The 25733-nt window shown below is 43.1% G+C and overlaps 1 protein-coding gene and 1 pseudogene across 7 annotated transcripts in view; one reads left to right on the top strand and one right to left on the bottom strand.

Moving 5' to 3' along the window:
• CLPB (ClpB family mitochondrial disaggregase) overlaps nt 1-10610 on the top strand; it is a 149037-nt gene extending 138427 nt beyond the window's left edge. For all 7 annotated transcript variants that reach the window (NM_001258393.3, XM_005274320.2, NM_001258392.3 and 4 more), the window contains 5 exons: nt 457-613; nt 1412-1485; nt 1661-1780; nt 1979-2083; nt 2490-10610. In NM_001258393.3, coding sequence (NP_001245322.1) covers nt 457-613; nt 1412-1485; nt 1661-1780; nt 1979-2083; nt 2490-2738 — 705 coding nt within the window. In that variant the 3' untranslated portion in view covers nt 2739-10610. The remainder of the gene's footprint in view (nt 1-456; nt 614-1411; nt 1486-1660; nt 1781-1978; nt 2084-2489) is intronic.
• On the bottom strand, nt 14998-15954 carry LOC401703 (U2 small nuclear RNA auxiliary factor 1 like 4 pseudogene; annotated as a pseudogene).

Genomic DNA, 25733 nt, shown 5'->3' with positions numbered 1-25733 from the left:
AACATATTGGATGGTCAGTGCTTGTTTCCTGTATCTCACTGCTTCTCTATACTGGGAGCATGTTGTAGGCTCAGTGGGACCCCAGTACCCCACCACAGATCCTGGCCCACAGCGGGCCTCCAAAAAATGTGTTGGTTGCACAAATGAATGGCTAACTGTGACTGACTTCTGCATGCCAGGGATAGTTGGGTGCCCCAAGAGATGCCAGAGAGCAACTGCAGCCTCACCTGGAGGCACTCAGTAGGGAGAGCAGTTGCAGCGCAGGGCGGTGAGCACAGCAGCCAAGGTGCAAGTCTAGTGCTCGGAGAACCCAGAGGAGGAAGCAGCTGGCTGCTGGGGCTGGAGGGAGACACAGGGCTCTGGGGAGGCCTCCTGAAGGAGGTGAGAACTGAGAGTGCTAAGGCCTGCCCAGGCACATAGCTCCCTGACTGTACACTCCCTTCCTTCCCTTCCCAGGGCCGGCTGACAGATGGAAAAGGGAAGACCATTGATTGCAAGGACGCCATCTTCATCATGACCTCCAATGTGGCCAGCGACGAGATCGCACAGCACGCGCTGCAGCTGAGGCAGGAAGCTTTGGAGATGAGCCGTAACCGTATTGCCGAAAACCTGGGTATGGCGGCTGACCTGAGCAGTCTGGTCCAGTGACCAAGCCACCAGCCTATCTCCTGGGGAAGGATGGGATTGGGGCCCTGGGCCCAGGTGAAGGTTCTAGTGGGCAGCTCTGTCCCTAGCTGACACTGAGCAGATATCAGACACCATACCAAGTAGTGGGGGTTGAGACAAAAGAGACAGAGACCCCACTTCAAGAAAGCCTCAAGTCTGTTGGGTGATAAGAGGGCTCCAGGCAGGAATGGACAGAGCTACACCAGGGTGGGGGGCCAGAAGCTGCTCAGTGTCTTAGGGGACTGAGGAGATGCACATGCAAGAGACACAGATGCTTTGGTGCAAGAAGGGGACAGCAGATCGAAAACTCTATGGCAGTGGACACAGCCTTGTTCACCCAGGGCAGCTTCCTGCGTAGGTGGGCCATGGAGAGTGCTGAAAAAAAGGAGCACATCCGGCAGGAAGCTGTGTCTGTCACCTTTTCCATTCAAGATCGAGCCCTGCAGCCCCCTTCCTCCAAGTCAGGACTCAAGTCTTAATCCTGACGTTTCCTCTCCTCTCCCTCCCTCACACAACTCCCACCCTGAGGAATCGCAGACTTCATACACTTGAGAGCTGGAAAGGCCTCCGAAAGTGCCTGGTCAGAGGAGGAGACCAGGCTGAAGCCCAGAGAGCCTTAGACCTTGACCAGGACCACACAGATGGACAGGACCAGGGCTCTTTCCATGGGCAGGCCAAGGGGCAGGCACAGCCCCCAAAGTTCCCTGAATGTGGGGAATAAGCAGTTTATGATTCTTCTCCACAGGGGATGTCCAGATAAGTGACAAGATCACCATCTCAAAGAACTTCAAGGAGAATGTGATTCGCCCTATCCTGAAAGTAAGAGGTCTTTCTTGGCACTTCCTGCTGGAGCCTAAGGTTGGGGGAGGGTGATCTTAGCCATCCTAAAGATCTGGAAGCCCCATAATTTCCCCAGTCTTCCCCTGGTGTCTGGTAATTTCCCTAACCCGCTCTGGGTCACTGAGCTCATCCCACCCCTAACCTGGCCCTTCAGGCTCACTTCCGGAGGGATGAGTTTCTGGGACGGATCAATGAGATCGTCTACTTCCTCCCCTTCTGCCACTCGGAGCTCATCCAACTCGTCAACAAGGAACTAAACTTCTGGGCCAAGAGAGTAAGAGGGAACTGCCCATGGGTGGGGGCGGGATAGCCAGCCACTGGAAATCTGGAACACTGGACTGGGGGCACCCCCACACACATAAAAGGTGGAGCACAGTGGTGTGGGGCCAGTGGCCCTGGCCTCAGGCCAGAGTGGCAAGAGATGGAAAGCAGTGGGCCACATGCAGGCATGCTTCTATCTGACCCATCTCAGGCCAAGCAAAGGCACAACATCACGCTGCTCTGGGACCGCGAGGTGGCAGATGTGCTGGTCGACGGCTACAATGTGCACTATGGCGCCCGCTCCATCAAACATGAGGTGAGCACAGGAGCCTGAGAAATGAGGCGCCTCCACACCTCCCTCCCCAGGGCCCCCCAGACCCAGTCCCTGAGCTCTCAGCCTGCCTCCCTATAGCTTGGTTGCTGGATATTCACACCCAGAGTGGATGCCCATTCAGAACCATAAACACATGATCACCAAGTAAAACCCCTGCTGGAGGGTAGCCCAGTATGAACCCCACTAGGACCAGGGAACTGGGCTGGGAGCCTCAGAAACTTGAGCGCAGTCCTGCGAGCTAGCTGTTATTAGCCCCAATTGGCAAATGAGAAAGCTGAGGCTCAGGCTCAAAGGAGGTCTCTGAGTTGCCCTAGCAGTAAGTGATGGAGGCCGACCTCCAAGCTGGGTCCAGGCCGAGGGAGTGACCACTTCACCTCCCCACCGACAGGTAGAACGCCGTGTGGTGAACCAGCTGGCAGCAGCCTATGAGCAGGACCTGCTGCCAGGGGGCTGTACTTTGCGCATCACGGTGGAGGACTCAGACAAGCAGCTACTCAAAAGCCCAGAACTGCCCTCACCCCAGGCTGAGAAGCGCCTCCCCAAGCTGCGTCTGGAGATCATCGACAAGGACAGCAAGACTCGCAGACTGGACATCCGGGCACCACTGCACCCTGAGAAGGTGTGCAACACCATCTAGCAGCCACCTGCCTGCTCCTATGTGCCCTCACCATCCAATAAAGGCCCCTTGGCTGTGGCATGGCAACTGACTTACCTTCCCCTCATGCCGCTCCCATCTCTACCCAGTCTCAGGCCTGCTTACCTCCTCACAGCCCATGAAGACCCCTTCTCAGCCCCAAAACCTGAAGGAGGAATTTCGCCCTACTCTGGCCCCTTTGTTGTGGGCCCATAACCTGCTAACAAGCCTTCAGGAGAGGAGCTGCCTTTCCACCCCCTTCAAGGCAAGGAGGGATGGAGGTCCCTTATTTCCTTCAGAATGATCCCCATCCCCCATAGTCGCCAGACTTTCTCATGTTCCCAGGAAGCTCAGAAGTATGGCAGCTAAGAACACAGCTGGCTGGAAGAAGACAGGGACCAGACTGAACTGCCACCCTCTGCTAGTCCTCATGCAACTCAGTCCCCAGAATGGCTCCACTGGGAGTGGAGGAAGAGCTCAGAGGCCCAGGTGCAGATAGTTCTGCAATTTAGTCTGTAGCCTCCTCGTTCCCTACCCTAAAATTCTAAGGGGAAGGGACCCATAGAGGCTTGCCTGTTTCCGCTACTATATTATGCCCAGTGTTCCTCCTCACCCCACGTCCTGGGGTCAGGCCAGACCATGTTTCGTCAGCCTTGGGGACTAGGCCAGTGTTGGGCACCTCCAGGAGGAGGCCTGACTGGTTCATTACCCTCCCCTACTCAGACTGAGCAGCAGTCCCAGATAACCAAGCAAGCTCAGCTCTGTGGGGGCCTCCTTCAAAAGACCAACATCGCAGACATTAGGAAGCTGTAGGAAGAGAGATCATGGGTTTGACCTCTGCCCACATGGCCATGGAGTCAGCCTCAGCCCTGTCTGTACTGCTCGTCCAGCTAAACGAGCCTGGAATAAACATGCAGTTTATTCAGTCTGCATGTTAGTCACAAAGCAGAGGGTCTGGACACCGTCCCCCAAGGGCATTTCACAGACCAGCCAATGTTTCAAGCCCACCTTAGCCAGGCACAGTAAGGCCTGGTGCATCCTTGGGCACCATCTACAGTAGCCACTGCTGATAAGCAGTCCACCCACCTTCCCCCACAGGCCCTTCATGGAACCCTCGCGTAGTGTTAGCTAGTCTTTCAGGAAGCAGAGAATGGGGCCAGGAATCAAAGTCCCTTGGGTAATGGAAGCATGTCCTAACAGTATGGTGGGTATGAGGCAGTCAGAATCCAGGGTGTGAGCTCCAGCAGATGCTTGGATCACTGTCTACCCCTCAGGGGCTGCTGCTCCCTACCTCACTGACTGCCTTTTTTTTTTTTTTTTTTTTTTTGAGACAGAGTCTCACTCTGTCCCCCAAGCTGGAGTGCAGTGGCGCGATCTCGGCTCACTGCAAGCCCTGCCTCCCAGGTTCACGCCATTCTCCTGCCTCAGCCTCCCGAGTAGCTGGGACTACAGGTGCCCACCACCACGCCCGGCTACCTTTTTGTATTTTTAGTAGAGACAGGGTTTCACCATGTTAGCCAGGATGGTCTCAATCTCCTGACCTTGTGATCTGCCTGCCTCGGCCTCCCAAAGTGCTGGGATTACAGGCATGAGCCACTGGACCCGGCCTGCTTTTCATTGTTTTTTACTTTTTGTTTTGAAATAATTTTAGACTTAGAGAAAGTTGCAGAAATAGTAGAAAATTCCCATGTATCTTTCATCTAGCATCTCCCAATGATTACATCCTACAAAGCCATACTGTAGTTTATCAAAACCAGGAAATTGCCGGGTGTGGTGGCTCATGCCTGTAATTCCAGCACTTTGGGAGGCTGAGGCAGGCAGATTACCTGAGGTCAGGAGTTCGAGACCAGCCTGGCCAACATGGTGAAACCCTGTCTGTACTAAAAATACAAAAATTAGCCAGGCCCGCTGGTGCCCACCTGTAATCCCAGCTACTTGGGAGGCTGAGGCAGGAGAATCACTTGAGCCCAGGAGGCGGAGGTTGCAGTGAGCTGAAATCACGCCACTGCACTCCAGCCTGGGCGACAGAGTGAGACTCCGTCTCAAAAAAAGAAAACCAGGAAGTTAACATTGATAAACTACTACTAACTAATCTACGGACATTCAAATTTTGCCAGTTTTCCCGATGATGTCCTTTGTCTGGTCCAGGGTCCCATATTGCATTTTGTTGTGGTGTTTCCTTCATCTCTGTCAGCCTGTGACAGTTTCTTGGTCTTTATCTTTCATGACCTTGACACTTTGGAAGAGTCCAGGCCAGTTATTTTATAGAATATTCCCCAGTTTTAGTTTGTTTAATGTTTTTACATGATATGATTGAGGATCTGCATTTTTGCCAAGACAACCACAGAAGTGATACTGTGCTATTCTTAGTGCCTCCTAGCGGAGGGTGGTGGTAACTTTTTGTTTTGGTTTTTTTTTTTTTTTTGAGACGGAGTCCCGCTCTGTCACCCAGGATGGAGTGCAGTGGCGCAATCTCGGCTCACTGCAACCTCTGCCTCCTGGGTTCAAAGTGATTCTCCTGCCTCAGCCTCCTGAGTAGCTGGGATTGCAGGTGCCCACCACCACACCCAGCTAATTTTTGTATTTTTAGTAGAGACAGGTTTTCGCCATGTTGGCCAGGCTGGTCTTGAACTCCTGACCTCAGGTGATCCACCCACCTCGGCCTCCCAAAGTGCTGAGATTACAGGCATGAGCCACCACACCTAGACTAGGTGGTGGTAACTTTGATCACATGGCTAAGGTGGTGTGTGCCAGGTTTCTCCACTGTAAAATTAGGAATTTTCCCTTTGAAATTAACAAGAATCTTCCACTTTGAAGCTATGTGAATGTCTTATTCTTAAAATTTTGCCTACTGATTTTCATTTCCATCATCAATGATTCTTGCTTATAACAGGTATTAATGTTATGCTTGCCTAATGGTGACTTTGTTTCATTATTTTACCTGTATTTATTAATTGGTATTCTACTATAAGGAAGAGCTGTCCCTTTTCCCCATTTATTTATTTGATAATTTATATCAGTATGAATGAGTGGATATCTGTTTTATTCTACAGGCTACAATCTAATGCTAACAGTTTATTTGGTTGCTCAAATTGGCTCAGATTTGGCCAGTGAGAACTCATTGAAGTTGGCACTGTGTTGTTTCGACATTGCCCCTGTCACTTTTTAAGCATTTTCTGGCACCACAAGATGTTTCAGGCTTCCTCACATTTTCCCTATCTCAGCCCTGGCATCAGTCATTCTCTAAGAAGCTCCCAGTTCCTTTTATTCCAGAAAAAAGGAACTTAGAAACCAAGTTGTTTCTTGATGCCACTGGAAACCAAGATCTGGACAGAATATATACTCCTGGCTAGAGTATCATTGGCGGAGTGTCATTGCTTGTAGGCCTGCTCAGCAGACAGAGCTAGAAAACATATATGTATATATGTTAAAACATGCAAATACAAGCACCTGAATTTATTATTCTATCCATCTGTATGTTATTAAAAACCGTGAGCCAGGTATGGTGGCTCGTGCCTGTATCCCAGGACTTTGGGAGGCCAAAGTGGGAGGATCACTTGAGCCCAGGAGTTCAAGACCAGCCTGCGCATCATAGCAAGACCTCATCCTCCAAACGTTTAAAAAATAAAAAATTAGCCAGGCATGGTGGTGCATTCCTGTAATCCTAGCTACGTAGGAGGCTGAGGCAGGAGGATCGCTTGAGTTCAGAAGGTTGAGGCTGTAGTGAACTGTGATTGTACCACTGCACTGCAGCCTGAGTGACAGAGCAAGACTCCGTTTCATATTTTTAAAAATAAATAAAAATCATGAGTTTAGATACGGTTTTAATTCAATACCATAGGGTTTGCGACTGCCATTTTTATAACCTTACTATTCTTTTTCTGCTTTTTCTCCTGCTATCTCTGTTTCTGCTCCTTTCTATTTGATGTTTAGACTTCCCATAGAGGCTCTAGTTAAGTCAGCTAGTAACCAGCCTGTGTGCAGTATTCCTACTAGATAGAGGTCTTATGCCCGGCTGTCAGTCCGTTGGTTCAGTTAACTGTGGCCAGGAATACTAGGCATATAACTTAAAATCAGATAACTTTTATACAAGAAAAGCCAATGGCCACCTTCCTGAGAATAGGATAAGGAGACAGGGGTAGAACCTTAGATTCTAAGGAACCTAATTAAGAATCACTTCTGGCCGGGCGTGGTGGCTCATGCCTGTAATCCCAACACTCTGGAGGCCATGTAGGGGCAGATCACGAGATCAAGAGATTGAGACCATCCTGACCAACATGGTGAAACCCCATCTCTACTAAAAATACAAAAATTAGCCAGGCGTGGTGGCGGGCGCCTGTAGTCTCAGCTACTCGGGAGGCTGAGGCAGGAGAATCGCTTGAACCCGGGAGGTGGAGGTTGCAGTGAGCCGAAATTGTGCCACTGCACTCCAGCCTGGTGACAGAGCCAGCCTCCGTCTCCAACAAAAACAAACAAAAAAAGAATTACTTCTTCCAGAGATTCTCTGCCAGAACTCCTAGGTGGTGTTGGACCCATATCTTTTACTTCCATAGCATCCCAGGCTCAGCTCACTTGTCCTACTTGTTCTGTGTCTTCATCACTAGAATGTAAGTTCTAAGAGGGCAGATGCCAAGCTGTTCAGCCATTCACAGAACCTGGCACAGTGCAGGCATATGACAGATGTTCCTTTATTATTATACTTGGGTGAGTGGATGGGACCTGCAGCAAGTGCAGATCTTCTCAGTGGGCTCTGGAACAGAAAAGTATTGTTTGTTTGCTCAGCATATTTTTATTTGTCCCATGTTGCTGTGGCCAGGATTTGAGCTCTGAGACAATGCAGCAAGGTGAGACCCAGATTTCTTTTGTTTTGTTTTGTTTTTTGAGACAGAGTCTTGCTCTGTCGCCCAGGCTGGAGTGCGGTGGTGCAATCTTGGCTCACTGCAACCTCCACCTCCAGTTCAAGCAGGTCTCATGCCTCAGCCTCCTCAGTAGCTGGGACTACAGGCATATGCCACCATACCCAGCTAATTTTTTTTGTATTTTTAGTAAAGACGGGGTTTCACCATGTTTGCCAGGCTAGTCTCAAACTCCTGGTCTCAAGTGATCCACCCACCTTGGCCTCCCAGAGTGCTGAGATTACAAGCGTCAACGACTGTACCCGGCCCCAAATTCCTTATTGAGGATCCTAGAATACATGAGACCAGACTTGGAAATGAAAGTGTAACATGTTTATTGTTCAAAAAGAAAAACTCAAAGGTGTGTAGTGATTTTAAAATTTAGGGAAATTCCTCAATATAGTGAAAGAAGAAAAACAAGAAAGAAATTTAGGAAAGAAACACACTTAAACCATAAAAAATAGAAAATGGACCAATAAAGATAAAAGCTAAACTTAACAAGGTAGGAAAAAGAAAAAGAATAAATTAAAAAATTCTTTGAAAGCACCAATAAAATAGATAAAACCTCCTGAGCCTGATAAAAGGGGAAAGGAGCCAAAAAAATTAACAAAATTAGGCATGAGAAATTAGACATAACCATATATATTGAGGAATTGAGAAGAAGAATAGAACTCTATGGCAACAAATTTGAAATCAGAGGAAATGGATAATTTCCCAGCAAACACTGATCCTAGAAATAGTTTGAATAGGCCAGTTGGTTACCCAAGAAGAAACTGGAAAGGTGGTTAAAATTTTATCCTTTTTGAGCACCATAAGATGGTGAAAAATAAATAAAATTTTATCCTTGTAAAAGATTGATGGCCAGGCATGGTGGTGGCCCACACCTGTAATCCTAGCACTTTGGAAGGCCAAGGCAGGCAGATCACTTGAGCCCCGGAGTCTGAGACCAGCCTGGGCAACATGGCAAGACCCCACCTCTACTAAAAATACCAAAATTAGCCAGGCATGATGGTGCTTGCCTGTAGTCAACAGCTACTTGGGAGGCTGAGGTGGGGAAGATGGTTTAAGCCCAGGAGGCAGAGGTTGCAGTGAGCCAAGACTGTGCTGCTGCACTCCAGCCTGGGTGACAGAGCGAGACCATGTCCCAAAAATAAAAAATTGTTTTTAATTAAACTTTTTAATTGAAAAATATATGGGAAATTGTACAAATCACAAGTATGCAGCTCAGTGAATGATTACAAAGTAAACACACTCCTATAGCCATCACTCAACCCCCAAAATAGATGAGTTTTAACTATTATTGTACTCAAACCTGATAAAGTGCCAGAAAGAATGCTATAGCCTAATCTCACCTATGGCCATAGATGCAAAAATCCCAAATAAAATCAAGTTGAATTGCACACTCTGATTACATAAGGTTTATTTTAGCAATGCAAGGCTCAGTGTCAGGAAATTTATTAATTTATTACATCAAGAACTTAAATGTTATTTAAATGTCTAGAGAGTGCTAGTGTTGTTAAATTTTCTCATTTTGATAATTATACTATGATTACAGAAGAGAACGTCCTTGTTTTCAGAAAATGTAAGTATTTAGAGGTTAAAGGTAAACCTCTAATTTGGTTTGCCAGTATTTCAGATAACTACACACACACACACACACACACACACACACACGGAATGATAAAGCAAAAAGTAAGGTGTTGGCAAGGCATGGTGGCTCACACCTGTAATTCCAACACTTTGGGAGGCCCAGGCAGGTGGATCACCTAGGTCTGGAGTTCGAGACCAGCCTGGACAACATGGTGAAACCCCTCTTTATTAAAGTACAAAAATTAGCCGGACATAGTGGCACATGCCGGTAATTCCAGCTATTTGGGAGGCTGAGGCACAGGAATCCCTTGAACCTGGAGGCAGAGGTTGTAGTGAGCCTACATCACACCACTGCACTCCAGCCTGGATGACAGAGTGAGACTGTCTCAAAAACAAACAAAAAAAAGATGTTAACATTTGGGAAATCTGAGGGAATGATGTACATGAATTCTTTGTATTGTTTTTGCAACTTTTAAGTATAAAGTTATTTCAGGCCAGGCATGGTAGTGCATGCCTGTATACCCAGCTACTCGAGGCTGAGGTGGAAGATTCCTTGAGTCTAGGAGTATGAGGTTACAGTGAGCTATGATCATGCCACTGCACTCCAGGCTGGGTGGCAGAGTGACACCCTATCTCTTAAAAAAAAAAAAAAAAAAAAAAACAGGTGCAGTATCTCACACCTGTAATCTCAACAGAACACTGAGGGGTCAAGGCAGGTGGACTGCTTGAGCCCAGGAGTTCAAGACCAGCCTGAGCAACATGGTGAAACCCCATCTCTGCAAAAAATTAGCTGGTTGTGGTGGCATCCACCTGTGGTCTCAGCTACTTGGGAGGCTGAGGTGGGAATATAACTGGAGCTCAGGAGGTGGAGGTTGCTGTGAGATGAGATCGTGCCACTGCACTCCAGCCTATCTCCAAAAAAAAAAAAAAGGCTATAGTAGAAGCCTATTAGCATGGATAAGTGTCTGAATAAAAGATAACTGTACAAAAATCAATTGTTTTTTCTGTATTCTAGCAATAATCAACTAGAAACAGTATCAAAAGAAAAACATTCCATTTACAATTGCAACAAATAGGTATATATATATTTGCTCTTCTACACATAACCTATTTCTGGAAGGGAGCAGAACTGGGCAATTCAGGGACAGCAATGGAAGGGGAACACTGCTATGTTATTTTAAATACTTTTTAGTAAGCTTTGAACCATATTAATGTATTACCTGTTCAAAATTATACTTAATAAATTTAACAAGAAAACCATATTGAAGGGCATAAAAATAAGACCTGACAAGTGAAAAAACATCAAGTTTTAGAAAGGATGATTTAATACTAAAATATACATTTCTTAATATATAACTTAATGTAAACCTAATAAATAATTTAATACAAATCTAATTGACAGCACTTTTAATTAAATAATGTTAAGGTCATACTGCACTACTATGTCCAGAGGCGATGCTACATGGAGCTACTGTTTTCTGGGTCTAGCCTCTCAGGAAATAGTCATTACTACTTTTGCAATCCCATCTTGACAGTATGCAAAAATTAGGGAAAATGTAAATTTATTATTAACACACACCCTAAATACAATTATGAGAGAAAGGAAAGAGAAGGGTTACTGTCTGTGGCTGGAGTATAGTAGCTGTGTATGAGTGTGGAGAAGAGAGGAAATTGGTGGAAAATGAAGCTAGAGAGGCAAGTTTCCTGATTTCAAAGTGCCCTGAATGCCATGCTAAGGGAATGAAATGACCAGATTTGTGTTTTAAAAGACCCTTTGTTTGCATTGTGTAGAATGATTTGGGATGACTTCTGACCAATATACAACAGAGAGTAATTTCAGGCAAACTCTCTTCCACCTCAAACAGAAATATTTAATATATGTAATAAGACAAGAAAGTTTAATACACAACTAGACTTGAAACCAAGAATGGGAAATCCCAGCCATGTACAGTGGCTCATGCCTGTAATCCCAGCACTTTGGGAGGCCAAGGCAGGCAGATCACCTGAGGTCAGGAGTTCAAGTCAGCCTGGCCAACATGGTGAAACCTTATCTCTACTAAAAATACAAAAATTAGCTGGGTGTGGTGGCATGTGCCTATAATCCCACCTACTGGGGAGACTGAGGCAGGAGAATTGCTTGAACCAGGAGGCAGAGGTTGCAGTGAGCTGAGATCACACCACTGCACTCCAGCCTGGGTGACAGAACGAGACTCCGCCTCAAAAAAAAAAAAAAAAATCTTAAAATGTTCAGACATGGAGAGAAGACTAAAAAACATAAAGCAAGAAAGGGCAGTAAGAAAAAATAGTAGGTATATTTGAAAAAGAGGCTTCATTCTGAGTGATTTTCTCAGATTAATTTTCGTCTTTTATGCATTTCTACAATTTTTTCTAGTGTTGTGGTCCTAATTGACTTAGATATTAGATACTAGGAGTAATAAGGACTCATATTCTTAAAGGAGGAAGATTTGGGTCATCCACTGGACAACAAACCATAGTGGTCTAAGGCAGTGACACAGGACAAGGGGAATATGGAATGGTCAGGGAGGGCAGTCACCAGTGTGACCCTCCAGAGTCATGATCAGTTGCAGAGATAAGGAATATAGCCTCAACCACAATCCTGAAACCATTAGCCCACCATCCTCTTAAGAGTCTTCAAGTCTAATACCATCCCTCACAGATTCGTTATAGTAATCCCAAGAAGTCTGACCCTAACCTCAGTGGTCATCTACCACCACATCATCACATACTGCTTCCCTCTCCAGCCTTTCCACTGTGTCCTCCAGCACTTCCTTTCTAAAATCGGTAGATTCTTTTCTATATGCACCTTGTATTTGGAATATTTGCTTCACTTCTTCATCTTAACTGTCCCCTAAAGACACAGCTTACTCTGGCTGTCCCCTAAGACTGCTTACCTGTAGCCCTCTTAGGCAGAGGCTGCTTTCATTGTTAGACCCAGAAGTGAGCCTCCACTGCTCCTCCTCAATTAGTTCTCATCCTTCCTCTCAGCTCTTTTGAATTCATCAGTTCGACTATACCAGCCTTTCTCTAATTGTCCTGCCTACTGATCTCCCAATCACTGTGTCACAGGGAAGATTTTAGTACCTGTGTCACTTTCTCTCTTCCCCAGCACATGCCATCATTCTTGGTGGCTTCAACCTTCCATGAATGACCTAAAGCCCTGCTCTCCTCACATTTAGTGGTCTTTTTTCTGCCCCTGCCCACCTAAATCACCTATGTTATGGTCACAGTCTAAATTTCATCACAAGTAATTAAACTTCCTCCGAAGCCCCTATCCCTCTCTAGCCAATTATCTTTCATCTTCCAGTTCACTTATATGAACTGGAGTACATTCTGTGTGTAATTCTGTGACCTTATTGATACTTCTAGTCCATTAACCCCAACCTTCTTATTGCCCATCTGATCCCTCTTTCTCCAAGTCCACTTAAATCTCAGGGCCCATCATTATAATCTCTCTCTTCCAAATATTCTCAGAATCTTCAGACTTAACCCAACAACAATATAGATCTTCCCAAACCTGTATTTTCAAAAAAAACTTCACGCTACGTAATGCCACCTATCCCTTGCACAGAGCAATTTACTCTTACAAAGATAAACATAGCAAAGTCTCATCAGTTGCTACAACTTGTTCCATATCAAGGATCTCTGTGTGATGAGCATTCTTCCTCTGGTTCTATCATAACCCTATTTAGATATATTTTAACCTGTGGGCAAAATTGAGAAGTCAACCAACACAATCTACATAAAATACTAGGGCAAAGCGAGGAAAAGGAAGGAAAAAAGAGAAAAAAGTATGGCAGATTAAGCACTATATAGTATGCTCCCCACCTTAGACACCCCCCACACACACAAAAAAAAAGAGTAAAATAATTTTTTAAAAGGTAAATACCCAGAGGATTCTGGGAAGATGCCAGAGTAGGAAGCATCAGGAATCTGTCTCCCCACCCAGACAATTACAGTGGCAGAATTTGTCTGATGTAACTATTTTGGAGCTCTGGAGTCTATTGGAGTTCTGCGACTTCCCAGGGAAGGCTTAGATGATAAATTGTGGTTAATTTTGTTCAATTTCAACTCTTAGCACAGTAACAACTACCCATCCCCCACCTCCCAGCCCCATGGCAGGCAGCTGTGCACGTGTTCCTAGAACAGCTGGAATGCAGCTTCCAGGAGCCAGGAGGGGCAAAAGGACCCTGTCTTTCAAATACTTAGGATCTGTGCTCTGATTGCTACTTCTGATCACAGGCATAAAAAGAGGCAGAGACCATTATTCTTATACCTCCTCCCATTGTAGCAAGCCCCTCTGGCTGAAGTGCTGTCTAGGATTAATGTGCTTGCACCCTTCCCTCCCTCTTCATTTTTCTCTTTTACTTCCTGTTGGTAGCCAGACATTTAAGACTAGGATATTCAAAAGCAATTGCATATACTGGGAAATTTAGAAAGTAATCATAATGTCTTAGAGAAGATGCAGAGTTAGTAATTTTTGTATTTTTAGTAGAGATGGGGTTTCACCATGTTGGCCAGGCTGGGCTCAAACCCATGACCTCAGGTGATCCACCTGCCTCAACTTCCCAAAGTGTTGGGATTGCAGGCATGAACCACCACTCGCAGTCAACTTTAAATGTTAATGGGTTAAACTCTCCAATCAAAAGGCAAAGATTGTCAGAATTGATTTTAATAACATAATCCAACAATATGCTGTCTACCAGAGTCTCACTTTAGCTCCAAAGAGACAAATAGATTGAAAGTGAAAGGATGGAAAAAACATATTCCACGCAAATAGTAACCAAAAGAGAGCAGGAATGCTTATACCAACATCAGACACTATACACTTCAATTTTTTAAAGACATTTTTTAAAAATTTACAAGAGAAAAGAACATTATATTATTATTTTTTAAGACGAGGTCTCTGTGGCCTAGGCTGGAGTGCAGTGGCATGATCACAGCTCACTGCCATCTCAACCACCTGGGCTTAAGCGATCCTCCCACTTCAGCCTCCCAAGTAGCTAGGACCACAAACATGTACCACCATGCTCAGCAAATATTTTTAATTATTTGTAGAGATGAGGTATCACTATGTTGCCCAGGCTGGTCTCAAATTCCTGGGCTCCAGCTATCCTCTTTCCTTGGCCTCCTACACTGCTGGGATTACAGGCATGAGCCATGGGGCCCAGCCAAGAATATTATAAATACAAGGTTTAATACAGGAATAAGATACAACAATTATGAAAATTTATATACCTAAAAAGACCATCAAAATACATGAAACAAAAACTGGCAGAACTAAAGGGAGAAATAGAAAGTTCTACAATAATAGTTGGAGTCTTCAATACCCTACTCTCAGTATTAGATAGAAGAACCAGAAAGAAGTAAGGAAATAAAGGATTTAAACACGACAATAAACCAACGAGATATAATGAGCATATACAGAACACTGTGCTCAACAACAACAGCATATACATTCTTCTCAAGTGTACACAGGACATTTTTCAGGATAGACCATATGTTAGGCCACAAAATGCCTCAATAGAATCTATTTATTTATTACTGTTATCACAACAAATTTTATTCAAAAAATTAACTTTGTGGTTTGTTGTTGTTGTTTTAAAAAAAAATTCCCCTTATGATCTGGTTTGGTCAATCAACCACAACACTTTCTAGCAGACATATGGTAGAAATGGCATGGCTCAGAATTGCCCTGATCTTTCATGATCCCTCAACCACCTCCTGTCACGCTCCCGCCTGCCGCCGCCTCCACCACCGCCACCGCCATGGTCTCTAGACCGAGAACTACGCTCCCGGGACTGGGATCTTGATCTATGCTTCTTCGGATGGCACCCATACAGCTCCCGCCTCAGCTCTCTGGAAATGAGCTTCAAATGCATGAAGTTGCAGAAGCTGCCTTGTGTGCATTCTCCCATCTCATACTGACTGCAGCAGGCTTCTCTGAAGTCGGTCACAGGCGACAGCTCGGCGTGGATTGGCTGTCCGTTAAACCAACGGTTATACAAGTCAATCACAGCCTTTTCCGCATCTTCCTCACGGCGAAAGGACGTACACGTTCTACACGTTCCCCACCAGGTGGTCTCCCTGGTTGTCACAGACGTTCATCTCTTCAACTTCCCCATACTTCTCCTCCATTTCTGTAAAAAACTCTCAAAAGGCCTGGCACGGTGGCTCATGCCTGTAATCCTAGCACTTTGGGAGGCCGAGGCGGGCGGATCACGAGGTCAGGAGATCGAGACCATCCTGGCTAACACGGTGAAACCCTGTTTCTACTAAAAATACAAAAAATTAGCCGGGCGTGGTGGCGGGCGCCTGTAGTCCCAGCTACTCGGGAGGCTGAGGCAGGAGAACGGCGTGAACCCAGGAGGCGGAGCTTGCAGTGAGCCGAGATAGCGCCACTGCACTCCAGCCTGGGCAACAAAGCAAAACTCCATCTCAAACAACAACAACAACAACAACAACTCCTCAAAAAATTCATCATAGTGTTCCTGCATCTCAACATCGCTCATGGCACAGCGCAAACCATCAGCAGACAGGGAAGAGTTTTGAGGGTTACCGTAAATGTTCAAGAGGGCAATGGTCTGTCTAAACGTCCGTTTATTGTGCAACCGAGAGCACCTGTCTCCATGACAACATGCTCCAATTCTGAAATAAAATGAACAGCTGACTTTGTCTTTCCCAGTGCCGAAGATGGAAGCCAGATACTCCGCCATTTCCCACCCACCACCCGCCATCACCACCGCCGACACTGCTGCCAACGCAGCCCTAGAATTTAAAACATAGATATCAAAGCATTTTCTCTGACAGAGCAAGATAAATTAGAAATCAGTAACAGTAGTAAAATGGCAAAAATTCATAAAATTATGAAAATCAAACAATGAATTGAAGAAATCACAAGAGACATTAGAAAATACTTACAGATACATGATAATGACCTGTAACTTTATGCACCACACCAAAACTTATGGAATGCAGTGAAAGCAGTGCTAAGGAGGAAATTTATAGCTATAAATGCTTACATTAAAAAAAAAGATCTCAAACAACAACCTGCAATTTAAGGAACTAGAAAAACAAAAACAAACTAAACTCAAAGCCAACAGAAGGAAGGACATAATAAAGATGAGAAGAGAAATAACATAAGAACAGGAAAACAACAGAGAAAATCAATGAAACTAGAAATCGATTCTTTAAAAAGATCAATAAATTGACAAACCTTTAGCTAGAGGGACTAAGCAAAAGAGGGAGAAGAGTCAAATTACTAAGATCAGAAATGAAAGCAAGGGCATTATTAGTGACTCTACAGAAATAAAAAGGATTATAAGAGAGTGCTATGAACGATTACATGCCAACAAATTGGATAACCTGGATGAAACTGATAAATTTTTACAAACACAAAACCTATCACAGCTAAATCACAAAGAAATAGAAAATCTGAATAAACCTATAACTAGCAAGGAGATTGAATGAGTAATAAAAAGTCTCCTGAGAAATGAAAGCTCTGGAACTGATGCACTGCTGAATTCTACCCAACATTTAAAGAACTAACACCAATCCTTCTCAAACCTAAAAAAAAAAGGAGATAACACTTTCTAACTCATTCTATGGGGCCCTGATACCAAAGCCACACAAAGACACTACAAGAAAAGAAAACTACAAGCCAATATCCTTTATGAGCACTGATGCAAAAATACTCAACAAAACACTAGCAAACCACATTTAGCAGCATATTAAAAGGATTATACACCATGACCAAGTAGGATCTATTCCTGGAATGCAAGGATGATTCAACATACAAGAATTTATCAATGTTTCCATAGTAATCTACAGAGTCAGTGCAATCCCTATCAAAATCCCAATGATGCTTTTAGCAGAAATAGAAAAACCCATCCTAAAATTCATATGGAACTTCAAGGGACCCTGAATCATCTTAAAAAAAGAAGAACAAAGCTGGAAGACTCATACTTCCTGACTGGAAAACTTATTACAAGCTGTAGTAATCAAATAGTATGATACTGGCATAAAGACAGACATATAAACCAATTGAATAGAATACACAGCCTAGAAGTAAATGCTTGCATATATGAACAAATGATTTTTTATATGGGTGCCAAGATTATTCAATGGGGAAAAAAACAGTCTTTTAACAATCGGTGCTGGGAAATATGGATATCCACATGCAAAAGGATAAATTTGGACCCTTATCTAACCATATACAAAAATCAACTCAAAATGGAACAAAGACCTAAATGTAAGACCTAAAAGTATAAAATTCTAAAAGAAAATATAGGGCTAATCTTTACAACTGTGAATTTGACAGTGATTTCTTGGAAATGACACCAAAGGCACAGGCAACAAAAAATAAATAAATTGGGGCTCATAAAAATTTTAAAAATCTGTGCAATGAAAGACACTATCTAGAGAGTAAAAAGGCAACCCACAGAATTGGAGAAAATATTTGCAAATTACACATATGATAAGAGATTAATATCCACACTATATAGAGAACTCATAAATCTCAACAGTGAAAAAACAAAACAACATGATTTAAAAATGGAGCCAGGCATGGTGGCTCATGCCTGTAATCCCAACACTTTGGGCGGCTGAGGTGGGTGGATCACCTGAGGTCAGGAATTGGAGACCAGCCTGACCAATATGGTGAAACCCCGTCTCTAATAAAAATACAAAAAAATTAGCTGGGCGTGGTGGCATGCGCCTGTAGTTCCAACAACTCAGGAGGCCTGGACAGGAGAATTGCTTGAACCTGGGAGGCGGAGGTTGTGGTGAGCCGAGATCGCGCCACTACACTCCAGCCTGGGCAACAGAGCGGAACTCTGTCTCAAAAAAAAAAAAAAAAAAAAATGGCAAAGAGCTGGGCGCAATGGTTCACGCCTGTAAGCCCAGCACTTTGAGAGGTGGAGGTAATCAGATTGCTTGGGACCAGGAGTTTTGAGACCAGGTTGGACAATATAGCAAAACCCCACCTCTACCAAAAATACAAAAAAATTAGCTGGGCGTGGTGGGGCATGCCTGTGGTCCCAGCTCCTTGAGAGGTTGTGGTGGAAGGATTGCTTGAGCCCGGGAGATGGAGGTTGCAGTGAACAGAGATCATGCCACCACACTCCCTCCCGGTTGACACAGTAAGACCCTGTATCAATTTTTTCAATAAAAAATAATTTAAAATGGGCAAAGGATTTGAATAAATATTTTTCCAAAGAATATATACAAATGGCCAATAAGCACAAAAACACATACTCAACATCAGTAATCATTAGGGAAATGTGAATCAAAACTACAATGAGACACCACCTCAGACCATTAGGATGTTTGCAATTTTTAAAAATCAGAAAATAACAAGTGTTGATGAGGGTTTGGAGAAGTTGGAACCCTTTTGCACTGTTGGCGGGAATGTAAAATGACACAGCCACTGTCGAAAACAATATGGAGGTTCTTAAAACAATTACATATGTAATTATCATATAATCCAGCAATTTCATTTCTGGGTATATAACCAAAAGAATTGAAAGCAGAGTCCCAAAGAGATATTGTATACCCATATTCCATAGAGCAGCGTTATTCACAATAGCTAAAACATGGAAGCAACACAAGTATCCATCAACAGATAACAGATAAGCAAAATGTAGTATATACATACAATAGAATATTATTCAGTCATAAAAAAGAAGGAAATTCTAACATATGCTACAATATGGATGAACCTTAAGGACATTATGCAAAGTGAAATAAGCCAGTCACAAAAAGACAAAGTTGGCCAGGCATAGTGGCTCACATCTGTAATCTCAGCACTTTGGGAGGCTAAGGTGAAAGCATTGCTGGGGCTCAGAAATTCAAGATCAGCCTGGGCAATATAGCAAGACCCCTTCTCTACAAAAACATGAAAAAAATTAGCTGGGTATGGTAGCACTTGCGTGTGATGCCAGCTACCGGGGAGGCTGAGGTAGAAGGGTCACTTAAGCCTGGGAGGTTGAAGTTGCAGCGAGCCATGATCACACCACTGCACTCCAGCTCATGCAACAGAGTGAAACTCTGCCTCACACACACACACATACAAATTAACAAAAAAGACAAATATTGTATGATTCTACTTATATGAAGTACACAGAATTGTTAAGATCACAGAGACAGAAGGTAGAATGGTGGTTTCCAGAGTCTGTGGAGACGAAGGAATAGGAAGCTACTGTTTCATGGGTATAGAATTTCTGTTTTTCAAGATGAAAAGAATTATGAAGATGGACGGTGGTGATGGTTGCACAAAATATGAAGTGTATTTATTTATTTTTGGAGATGGAGTTTTGCTCTTGTTGTCCAGGCTGGAGTGCAATGGCGCGATCTCAACTCACCACAACCTCCGCCTCCCAGGTTCAAGCAATTCTCCTGCCTCAGCCTCCCTAGTAGCTGGGATTACAGGCATGTGCCACTACGCCTGGCTAATTTTGTATTTTCAGCAGAGGCGGGGTTTCTCCATGTTGGTCAGGCTGGTCTCGAACTCCCGACCTCAGGTGATCTGCCCGCCTCAGCCTCCCAAAGTGCTGGGATTACAGGCATGAGCCACCATGCCCGGCCTTAAAGTGTATTTAATACTGCTGTACTATACATGTATAAATGGTTACGATGGCAAATTTTACATTATGTATATTTTTTCACAATTTTTAAATGTGGAAAAAAAGTAATTACCCATGAGGACAAAAAGAATAGAAAGAGTCAAGAGATGAGGAAAATTAATCAATTTTGAAACATAAAAAAATTGATAAAGTTGTACCAACCCAGCCTCCACCCTAACCATAAGGTAATGCTAGAGGAATTCAAAGCTGATAGCAGGCCGGGTGCGGTGGCTCACGCCTGTAATCCCAGCACTTTGGGAGGCCGAGGCGGGTTCATCACGAGGTCAGGATATCGAGACCATCCTGGCTAACATGGTGAAACCCCGTGTCTACTAAAAATACAAAAAATTAGCCAGGCGTGGTGGCGGGTGCCTATAGTCCCAGCTACTCGGGAGGCTGAGGCAGGAGAATGGTGTGAACCCAGGAGGTGGAGCTTGCAGTGAGCCGAGATCACGCCACTGCACTCCAGAGTCTGGGCAACAGAGAAAAAAAAAAAAATCTGATAGTACACTGAAGGTAACCATAGTAACAATAAAACCTAAACCCAGATCAAATCTGGACTAAATTACCTCAATTACCCACACAAACAGCCTATGAAAAGGAGAGGCATGCTCATTTCTAGGCATAAATACTATTTATTACAGTCTCTTCTGTTCTACACGTGATGTCCAACATTCAATGAAAAAATTATGAAACATAATGTGGAAAGAATAGTAAATGATGTTGGGACAACTGAATATCCACATACAAAAAAATAAACTGGACCCCTACCCCACACCATACACAAAAATTAACTTACACGGGATCAAAGACCTAAGCACAAGAGTTAAAACAATGATAAAACTCTTAGAAGAAGATATAGTTGTAATCTCTTCAAAAAAAGATGTACAAAAGGCCAATGAGTACATGAAAAGATACTCAGTATCATCAATATCATTAGTCATTAGAGAAATACAAATCAAAATGACGCGATACTACTCTCACCCACTAGGATGACTATAAGGTAAAACAAAAACAAAGTAATGAAATAACTGTTGGCAAGGATGTGGAAAAATGTGAACCCTCATTTATTGCTGGTAGGAATGTAAAATGATGCCGCCACTTTGGAAAAGAGTCTACCGGTCACTGAAAAGCTTAAACAGAGTTTCTATATGACCCAACAATTCTACTCCTAGGTTATACCTAAGAGACATGCAGATGTTCAAACAAAAAGTTCTGCATGTTTTTTCTTTTTTCTTTTGCTATTCACAATAGCCCAAAGATAGAAACAACCCTAATATGCATCAACTGATGAATGGATAAACAAAATGTGGTGTATCCATATCATTAATATTATTCAGCCATAGAAAGGATGAAGTACTGATACATGCTACGACATGGATGAACCTTGAAAACATTATACTAAGTAAAATAAGCCAGACATAAAAGGCCACATATTGTATTATTTCCTATATATGAAATGTCCAGAATATGCATATATAGAGCGACAAAAAGTAGATGAGTGGTTGCCAGGATAGGGAAAGGGAGGAATGGAGTAATTGCTTAACTGGTGTAGGATTTTCTTTCGGGTGATGAAACGTTCTGGAACCCGATAGTGGTGATAGTTGCATAACATTGTCAGTATACTAAATGCCTTTGAATTATAAACTTTAAAATGGTCAAAATTGTGACGTTTTATATTTTGTATGTTTTACCACAGTTTTTTTTTAGGATTAGGCAATGGTTTCTTAGATATGACACTAAAACCAAACAACAAGAAAAAATAAATGCAACTTCATCCAAATTGAAAAGTTTTGGCTGGGCGTGCTGGCTCACGCCTGTAATCCCAGCACTTTGGGAGGCTGAGGTGGGCAGATCACCTTAGGCCAGGAGTTTGAGACCAGCCTGGCCAACATGGTGAAACCCTGTCTCTACTAAATACAAAAAAAAAAAAAAAAATAGCTGGGAGTGGTGGCGTGTGCCTGTAATCCCAGCTACTTGGGAGGCTGAGACAGGAGAATCGCTTGTACCCAGGAGACAGAGATTGCAGTGAGCCAAGATTGTGCCATTGCACTCCAGCCTGGGCAAGAGCGAAACTCCATCTCAAAAAAAAAGAAAAAGAAAGTGAAAAGACAACCTATAGAATGGGAGAAAATCTTTGAAACTCAGATTTGATAAGAGTCTAGTATACAGAGTATATAAAGAACTCTTAAAACACAACCATAAAAAGCAAATTAACCCAATTTTAAAACAGGCAAAGGATCTAAATAGACATTTATCCAAAGAAGATACATAAAAGGTTAAAAAGCACATGAAAGATGTTCGGTGTCATTAGCTATCAGGGAAATGCAAATCAAATCCACTATACATACCCGCCAAAATGACTATAATAAAAAAGATAGGCAATAACAAGTGTTGGTGAGGATTTGGAGAAATTGAACTCTCATACACTACTGGTAGGAATGTAAAGTGAGGCAGCCACTTTGGAAAAGAGCCTAACAGTCACTCAAAAAGTTAAACATAGAGTTTCCATCTAACCCAGCAATTCTACTCCTAGCTTATACCTAAGAGACAGGAAAACATACAGCCACACAAAAACTTACACACAATGTACATAGCAACATTTTTCATAATAATTAAAAAGTGGAAACAACCCAAATGTTCATCAAACTGATGAATGGATGGATAAAATATGGTGTATCTATACATATACACAGAATATTATTCAGACATGAAAAGAATGAAGTATTGATTTACACTACAACATGAACCTTGAAATATGCAAAATGAAAGAATCCAGTTACAAAATACCACATAGTAGATGATTCTATTTATATGAAAATGTCCAGATAGGCAAATTCACAGAGACCGAAAGTAGATTAGTGGTTGCCAGGTAATGGGAAAGGGGAATCGAAATGACTGATAATGAACTTGGGGGTTTCTTTTTGGAGTGATGAAATGTTCTAGAATTACATAGTGGTGGTGGTTGCACAACTTTGTGCAATCCTTGTATTGTACACTTCAAAGGGTGAATTTTTTTTTTTTTCTTCTTGAAACAGAGTCTTGCTCTGTCACCCAGTCTGGAGTGCAGTGGCGTGATCTCAGCTCACTGCAAGCTCTGCCTGCCGGGTTCACGCCATTCTTCTGCCTCCGCCTCCCGAGTAGCTGGGACTACAGGCACCCACCACCACGCCCGGCTAATTTTTTGTATTTTTAGTAGAGACGGGGTTTCACCGTGTTAGCCAGGATGATCTGGATCTCCTGACCTCGTGATCCGCCCGCCTGGGCCTCCCAAAGTGCTGGGATTATAGGTGTGAGCCACAGCGCCTGGCCTTTTTTATTTTTATTTTTTTGAGACAGAGTCTCGCTGTGTTGCCCAGGCTGGAGTGCAGTGGTGCGATCTTGGCTCACTGTAACCTCTGCCTTCTGGGTTCAAGCAATTCTCCTGCCTCAACCTCCCGAGTAGCTGGGATTACAGGCAGGCGCCACCACAGCTTACTAATTTTTGTATTTTTAGTAGAGACAGGGTTTCACCATGTTGGCCAGGCTGGTCTGGAACTCCTGACTTCAAGTGATCCACCCGCCTCGGCCTCCCAAAGTGCTGGGATTACAGACATGAGCCACTGTGCCCCGCCTAAAGAGTGAATTTTATGATGTGAATTATATCTCAAAGTTTTATATCTCAAAAATTATGCCTCAGTTTTAAAAATAAGGAAATACATGCTTTCAAAAAAATGTTTTAATATATCAAAGTTAAATGTCAAGAGAATGAGAAAAGAAGTCACAGACTGGGAGAAAATATTTACAAAAGACATATGTGATACAGGAATATTCAAAATATATGCTTACAACTGAACAATAAGAAAACCAGATTAAACAACGGGCAAACTATCTGAAAAGACACATCACCAAAGAAGATATACAGATGACAAATAAGCATATGAAAAGATCCTCCACATCCTATGTCATTAGGGAATTGCAAATTAAAACAATGAGATACCACTATACTTTAGAATGGCTAAAATTCAAAACTCTGACCATACCAAATACTGGCAAGGAGGTGGAGCAATAGGAACTCTCATTCATTGCTGGAGGGAATGCAAAAGGATACAGTCACTTTGGAAGACAGCAGTTGTTTACAAAACCAAACATACTTTTACCATATGATCCTACAACTGAGCTCCTTTGTGTTTACTCAACTATGTTGACAACTTACGTACACCCAAAAACCTACACATGAATGTTTGTAGCAGCTTTATTCATAATTGTCAAAATTTGAAAGAAATTAAAATGTCCTTCAATAGGTAAGTGGATAAAGAAACTCTGGTACATCCAGACAGTGGAATATTATTTAATGCTAAAAAGAAATGAGCTATTAAGCCATAAAAACACATAGAGAAACTTTACATTCTTATCACTAAGTGAAAGAAGTCATTCTGAAAAGCCTATATACTGTATGATTCCAACTATATGGCATCATGGAAAAGACAGAACTATAGAGACAGTAAAAACAGAAGTGATTTCTAGGGACTTAAGTGGAGAGAGATCAATAGGTGGAGCACAGGGGATTTTTAGGGCAGTGAAATTATTCTGTATGATATTACAAGTGTGGGCATACGTTATTATACATTTGTCAAAATCTACAGAATGTAAATACAGTGAACTTTAACTATGGACTTTGGTCAATTATGATGTATGTGTCAATATTGGTGCATTGATTGTACCAAATATTCCAATCTGATGCTAATATCGATAATGAAGGCTTTGTTGGGGGGGGTTGGTACTAGGGCAGGAGAGGGGGGTATGGGAATGCTGTATACTTTCCACTCCGTTTTGCTGTGAACCTAAAGCTGCTCTAAAAAAATTGTCGATTAACTTTTAAAAGTTAAATGAACCACATTCTAATAGAGTTTCTTTTTAAAATGGGGGGGAGGGGAATAGAGCTGTATCCAAAAAGTTATGGCTCATATTTTAACAGGTTAAAGTTGAAAACTGTTTTAGGGTCTTCCTTCCTCTACCTGATTTCTGTAGCTTACCTGGACATACTCATACACACAATAGATGCTTACCGAGTGTTTGCAGGAAGAACAAATCAGTAAGACTCCACGGCATAATCTCATGATTTGGGTTTTTATCTTTGTTTCTTCCCATTGCAGTATCGCTTCATCCATTTAGCATTTCTTAGGCAATTAATTATATAAAATAAGTATAATTTCCTGATGACTAAAACATATCAGCTTAAAGTCCTTACAACATGACAATTTGTACCCCAGAGCAATCTAAGGGAGAGGCAGGCAGAAGCCACAATGTCTTACATGCCCTAAGCGTCAGAAGCAGAACACCACCATTCCCACCATATTGCATTCATTACAATAGAAGTCCCAAAAATGCAAGGGAAGGAGAATTAAGCTTCACTTTTTTGTTTTTGTTTTTTTCTAGACGGAGTTTTGCTCTTGTGCCCAGGCTGGAGTGCAGTGGCGTGATCTTGGCTCACTGCAATCTCCGTCTCCTGGGTTCAAGCGATTCTCCTGCCTCAGCCTCCCAAGTAGCTGGGATTACAGGCATGCACCTCCATGTCCAGCTAATTTCGTATTTTTAGTAGAGATGAGGTTTCTCCATGTTAGTCAGGCTGGTTTCAAACTCCTGACCTAGGTGTTCCACCCACCTCAGCCTCCCAAAGTGCTGGGATTACAGGCGTGAGCCACCGTGCCCAGCCTTTAAGCTTCACCTTTTAAAGGATATAGAGATAGCAGTATACATTAAAAATATGCATGCATATTTTAAAACCACCACACATGTCTAGACACATCAGACTCAAACTTCCAAAACTCAAAGATTAAGAGAATGTCTTGAAAACGAGAAAAGACATATTACATTGAGAAGAACAAAGCACA

The sequence above is a fragment of the Homo sapiens genome, chromosome 11 (assembly GCF_000001405.40).
Source record: "Homo sapiens chromosome 11, GRCh38.p14 Primary Assembly".
In the NCBI taxonomy this organism is placed as follows: domain Eukaryota; kingdom Metazoa; phylum Chordata; class Mammalia; order Primates; family Hominidae; genus Homo; species Homo sapiens.
Note: the sequence above shows the minus strand (reverse complement) of the source record. Positions and strands in the feature narration are given on the sequence as shown.